Source organism: Homo sapiens, chromosome 3 (genome assembly GCF_000001405.40).
Source record: "Homo sapiens chromosome 3, GRCh38.p14 Primary Assembly".
NCBI lineage: Eukaryota > Metazoa > Chordata > Mammalia > Primates > Hominidae > Homo > Homo sapiens.
The window spans coordinates 171,496,977-171,504,244 of record NC_000003.12 but is presented as its reverse complement, the minus strand read 5'-3'; positions in this window follow the sequence as shown (position 1 = coordinate 171,504,244).

Below are 7,268 nucleotides of genomic sequence, written 5' to 3'. Positions count from 1 at the left end.
TTAAAAAAGAAAATAATATTGTAATGTATTTCTACAAGTAAAGTGAAGAAAGGAAATTATATGATTCATAGGAATAAAGTAAACCATGAGTTTTGTGAAAATGGCACCAAAAATTCAGAAAGAAAGGGAAAAGTCAACTGAGACTCTAAGTTGATTCGTTCCTGTTTTGTTTTGTGTCCTTCTACTGGTGTTACCCAGACAGCACTGCATGCAATGTGGCTGAACAGGTGCAAACTTGCACTGCTGTGATAAGAAAAGGTATTTAGTAGTGTTACACAAGACATGTTATGACAATCCAGCTTCTGCCAGTGAATGGAGCATTTTGTGTTTGGATCCCAAAGAAGTTACTCTTCTTGTCAAAGGAAAGAAGCTAAATTATCCTTCCCAAGGCCACACATAGGCAGAAACATATACAGGATGCAGAAGGTCAGGTAGAACCACAATGGCAGGGAAACAGAGGCTCAATAAGGAGATAACATTCTGCCAATCATATTTGTGGACAGACCAGAAATATTCTAGCATAGGGATTAAGGACCCCAAAGAAGTGACTTCTCAGAACAAGTAGGCTTAAGATTTGGGGCCAGAATCTAAACAGAATCTACAGAACTTGTACAATGCAAGGAGAAAAATACCAAATGGCTAAGCAATCTCACCTTTAAAAATGATAACAGAACTCTCTCCTAAATAGTATTCTTTGTTGGTATACATAAAATGCTATGTGTATATACACATATACATACATATGTATATATACATGTTATGTGTGTATATATATGTATATATATGTATATATACATAAATGTTATGTGTGTATACATATGTATATATACATAAATGTTATGTGTGTATACATATGTATATATACATAAATGTTATGTGTATATACTCACATACATAAATGTTATGTGTATATACTCACATACATAAATGTTATGTGTATATACACACATACATAAATGTTATGTGTATATACACACATACATAAATGTTATGTGTATATACACACATACATAAATGTTATGTGTATATACACACATACATAAATGTTATGTGTATATACACACATACATAAATGTTATGTGTATATACACACATACATAAATGTTATGTGTATATACACACATACATAAATGTTATGTGTATATACACACATACATAAATGTTATGTGTATATACACACATACATAAATGTTATGTGTATATACACACATACATAAATGTTATGTGTATATACACACATACATAAATGTTATGTGTATATACACACATACATAAATGTTATGTGTATATACACACATACATAAATGTTATGTGTATATACACACATACATAAATGTTATGTGTATATACACACATACATAAATGTTATGTGTATATACACACATACATACATATTAGTAGTAGTTAAAGTATAATCATTCTAAAAAATTATTTTGCCTTCTTCGAAAAGTCCCAAGCTTCAGAACTCCTGTGGGTATTGTTATATAGAGATACAAAAGATATCTTGGTAGTTCCCTTATGTGACCACTATCGTCAAGTTTCTGGTGCCCAGAATGGCATAAACACACACATGCACATCATCTCTATGTCCTCACATCTGTCTAAACAATGCACCACTTTGTGCTGTTTTTATGCAGGTAAAGAGCTATGGCTAAAGCATGAGTGATTTGTTCCTTTATTACCAAAATATTTATAGCAGCCTTGATGTGACTTATGTAGAAGAAAATTAAATAGCAAAGAAATTGTGGCCGGGCGCGGTGGCTCACGCCTGTAATCCCAGCACTTTGGGAGGCCGAGGCGGGTGAATCACGAGGTCAGGAGTTTAAGAGCAGCCTGGCCAACACAGTGAAACCCCGTCTCTACTAAAAATACAAAAAATTAGCTGTCCATAATGGCAGGCACCTATAATCCCAGCTACTCAGGAGGCTGAGGCAGGAGAATCGTTTGAACCCAGGAGGCGGAGGTTGCAATGAGCCGAGATCATGCCACTGCACTCCAGCCCTGGTGACAGAGTGAGACTCTGTCTCAAAAAAAAAAAAAAAAAAAGAATAAAGAAAGAAAGAAAGAAAGAAAGAAATTGTAGCAGAATTACAGTTAGAAATAAGCAATAGACTTAGTTTACAAAATTTAAAAATTGGCAAATACAAATTTTACATTTGGGAAAATTATTGGAAAAAAATCTGTGTTCAGATTTTAAACTTTGGTTTCAAAGCCATTTTAATGAGAACATTAAAAGGGAATTTTTATTTTTCGAAAACAAGAGCAGTAGATTACTTATTCACCAAATTTTATATAATCATAGAACATCTATTAGGCAGTACAATTGAGTGCAAAGGAAAAAGAACCGTAGCTCTACTTCTGCGGGAGAAAACAATAAAGAAACAAGAAAGCATGTTCATTTTCTTCTCCTATACGTATATTAGTAAAATAAGACTAATATCTACAGGTCCTGGGAATTGATTTTGAAGCTATGTCTTAATAATAATAGCTAATATTTATTGAGAATCTACCATGTGGCAGTCAATTTACATGTGTTACCTTACTTCATCTTCACAAAAACCTGATCAAGTCAGCTGTGGTAGACTCAATTAATGGTGGTCCACAATTAATAACACCTTCCAGTATTATACCCTCTCCCACATTGACCATGGGCCTGGCCATCTGATTTGCCTTGTCCTGTGGGACATTAGCAAGCATGATACAAGTAGAGGCTGAATAAGTGCTTGAACATTGGATTTGTCTTCTCAAGATCTATGTTGCCATGTAAAAAGCTCAGGCTAAATTACTAAATCATGAGAGGTCAACTGGAGAGAGGCTCTGGAGAGTGAGAAGCCATCTTGGACACTCCAACCCCAGCCAAGCTCTCAGCTGATTATTGTTGAATAAGAGACCCAAGCAAAGCCAGCAGAACCACCCAGCTAAATCCCAACCCACAGAATAATTTTAATGTAATAAATCATTAGGCCAGGTATGGTGGCTCACGCCCGTAATCCCAACACTTTGGGAGGCCAAAGTGGGCGGATTGCTTGAGGCTAGGAGTTCGAGACCAGCCTGGGCAACATGGTGAACCCCATCTCTTAAAAAAAACCTCAAAAATTAGCTGGGCGTGGTGGTATGCACCTGTAGTCCCAGTTACTCGGGAGACTGAGGTGGGAGGATGGCTTGAGCCTGGGAGGTGGAGGTTGCAGTGAGCCAAGATTGTGCCACTGCACTCCAGCCTGGGCGACGAAGTGAGACCCTGTCTTAAAAATAAATAAATAAATGATAAAAGTAATAGGTCATTTTTGTTTTAAGCCACTATACTTTGGTGTGGTTTGTTACATAGCAATAGATAACTGAAATATGACTAATATAATTTACAATTGATGTATATGTTAATTGTGAGCCAGAGAGGTTAAATACATAGTCAAAGTCTTATAAAAAGATTGTAATTCTGGGCTGGGCATGGGGGCTCATGCCTGTAATCCCAGCACTTTGGGAGGCCGCGGCAGGCGGATCACGAGGTCAGGAGTTCGAGACCAGCCTGGCCAACATGGTAAAACCCCATCTCTACTAAAAATGCAAAAAAATTAGCCGGGCGTGGTGGCACACACCTGTAGTCCCAGCTACATGGGCAGCCTGAGGCAGGAGAATCACTTGAATCCGGGAGGCGGAGGTTGCAGTGAGCTGAGATCACACCACTGACTCCAGCCTGGGCAACAGAGTGAGACTCTGTCTCAAAAAATAAAAAAAAAAAAAAAGATTGTAATTCCAAATGTACCACACAAAATCTCGTGTTCTTTCCACTACACTTTCCTAAATTCCAGGCTTATATATCCAAACTGCTTATTTGACATGTCTCCTTGGTTCTCTAATAGGCATTTCAAACATAACAGGCCCCGAACAAAACTCTTGAGCCCTTCTTTCCAAATTTGCTCTTCTCTCTGGGTTCCCTACCTCAGTAAATAGCACCAGCACCCATCTAGTTGCCTAGTTGCTCAGGAAAAAAAAAACAAAAACCTAGGCCGGGCACGGTGGCTCACACCTGTAATCTCAGCACACTTTGGGTGGCCAAGGCGGGCGGATCACTTGAGGCCAGGAGTTTGAGACCAGCCAGGAGTTTGAGACCAGACATGGTGAAACCCCATCTCTACTAAAAATACAAAAATTAGCTGGGCGTGGTGGTGCATGCCTGTAATCCCAGCTACTTGGAAGGCTGAGGCATGAGAATTGCTTGAACCTGGAGGCTGAGGTTGCAATGAGCCAAGATCATGCCACTGCACTCCAGCCTCAGCAACAGAGTGAGACTCCGACTCAAAAAAACAAACAAAAAAGCCCTGGAATTATCATTGACTTATCTCTTTTACTCACACCCCCTCAACCAATCTATCAGGAAATCCTGTCAACAATAAGCTCAAATACACCTCTGAATCTTACCTCTACTGTTCGTTCCCTCCTCCTCAACCACCCTAGTTCAAGCCACGATCACGCCCGACTTGAACGACCACAATAGCATATGGGGAAGAGAAAAAAGGAAAAAAAATGGCACTATAGAGAGCATGGAGGGTAAAGGGACAATAGAAAAATACTTTCTGATTCAACAGTTCTTGTTGTCACTGCCATCCCCAGCACCAGCCCAAACAGAGGGACGTTCTACAAAGTACCTTGGTAGTACTCTTCAAATGGTGGCTATCTTCAGAGAATGAGTCTGGAATCTGGCAGAACGAGGGGAATGTTTTCTCTCTTTACTTCTCTGCCGCAGCTTTACTCATTTCTAGAAAAGCATAGTGAATTGGTGTTTGTGCATCTCATGCCCTATAATCAATTAGAAAATAAGGTTCTACATGTGATTTTGGAGAGATTACAACTGGAGGAGAATAAGATCTTGAGCAAGCTTGATCCCTTCCTCTGTACACCAAAATGCTGCTTTGTATTTTGGTAGTTTACTCCTCAAGAGAGAAGATGTGGGCAGGAGAAGGTTAATTGAGTAAGCAAAACCATGACTTCCAATAGAGAATGTTCAAAAAAAAAAAAAAAAAAAGCACCAGGATGTGTTAGCCCAATAAATAATTCATTGGACTGCCTATTCACAGACTAATAGAAAAATATTACAGAATACCTACATGTCAATCAGTTAGTTAAATAAACTAACTGCAGTTAGTTAAATAAACACTCTATGTAGATGTCACCTGTAAAACCCAGATTTATACATTCATCGTATGTTTTACCCAGGCAAAAACATAATATCTAGTAACTTGACTTCAAAAACTATTAACATCTCATGCCCTTGAAAAGGTTACCTGACATCTTGTAGGCCAGATCCAGGGTTGAATAGACATGTCCCCTGCCACTGAGCTTACAATAGCCAAACATTCAAATGACACTTTAGTTACTTTTGCTGCCCTTACAGAGAAACATTGAGAGTTGTGATCCTTCCGGGCCTGCTGGAATTCTCCTGACTTCAGGGGGCACAGCTGCAGCAGTGAATGCAAAGGCAAAATGTGGATTTGCAAATGCCCCAACTCCAGCTCAGTCAGAAACTCCCATTTTTACTCAAATAATTTCCTAATTATTTGATATACTTAAAAAAAGATGAAAATGATAAGCCCTGCTATCCCAGGAATTGTGCTTTATATGGCCTTTTTTCTACTCAATCTTCACAACAACTTTGTGAGGCAGGTATTATTATTATGACTCTACTTTTAGATAAAACATCTAGAATATGATAAAACTGAGAGCAACAAAAAGCATCATGAGTAATATGACAAATTGACACCACACAGTGCCTGATAAGAGGCAAAATAAGGAATCAAATCACTTCTGTGATATTTTTAGTAAAAGTGTATAAACTGAACTCAATCACCACCAGACCAACCCGAATTGAGGGACGTTCTAAAAAATACCTTGGCAATACTCCAAATGCATCAAGGGCATGAAAGACAAAGACAGACTGAGAATCTGTTGCAAATCAAGGAAGACAAACAAAACAAGACAAACTAAATGCAACACGTAAATTTGGGCTGGATCTTGGAGCAGAAAAAAAAGTAGATTAGTGAGACTATTGGTGAACTTGAGGACTGTAGGTCAGAAAATAGTATTTTATCAATGTTAACTTCCTGATTTTGATCATTTCACTGTGGCATGAAAAATGTTAACATTTGGGGAAACTATAAGAAGGGTAATCAGAAATTTTTTCTTACTTTCTGTGTAAGTAAAAAATTATTTCAAAATTAAAAGTTGAAAAGTGGGGAAGAAAAGAAAGTAAAAGAAATAAACACTAAATGCAGCATCCCAGTAGGGAATCTGGAGAGACAGAGAAGGTGGTACCGTATTTGGGGTGGGAATGAATCTCTTCTGACAGCTGGAAACCATTTGGGGTTTGTCCTTGGAGTGGTTTATCCAGAAGATCAATTTCTGAAGTGTAAAATTCTTGTGACTGACAGGCTGTTGGAGTTGGAAGAGAATGCAGAGGTACTCTGAGGGCTCTCATCTTGCAGAAATGACATCTGAAGCTCAGAAAGGCATGAGGATGATGGGCCCAAGGTCATACAGCTAAAGAGCCAAGATAAGAACCTAGCTTTTCTGGGTCATGGGATACTATTTCTATGCCACCATTCATTTCTGAAAGTGGACACCTCCCGGCTCAAGCCCATAATCCATGGTGTAGGGGCTTTATCCATTAGGCATGTGATTCTACCCACCTGCTAGAGATTTTCTTCTGGAGCCAGATAGTCATTCACTTATTCACTCATTCAACAAATATTTATTGAGTGCCTCCCAATGCCAGGCATTACTTGAATGGTAAATGATACAGCAACTATCAAAAACAAAGTTCTCAAATTCTAGTGGACAGACCGAAGTACTGATCCAGTGTCCACCCTTAGTGACCTGCATGACCTTGGGCACATTCCTTTACCTCTCTAAGCCTCAGTTTGCTCTTCTGTAACACAGAGAAGATGGAATTACTCAAGGATTATTCTGAACATTAAGTAAGATATTGCATCTAACCTTTTAGCAGAATTGTCTGGTGTGTAAGTACTCAGTAAATATTAAGTATTACTGTTAATGTGTTTTTCTCTCCAACCGGGAGCTCTGTCAGTTACACTAGCTTGAGGAGATATCTGGGTGCACTCAGAAATTCTATACTATATTTCTAAACGCATTGAAAACTCACATTTAAGAAGGTGAGTTTTTCCAACAGAGTAATTTTCCATTTCCCACTCCATTTCTTTGTTATTTTCAAAGGTAGATAAACAATAAAAAGAAAGGGCAAGAAAGGCCAACTGAGA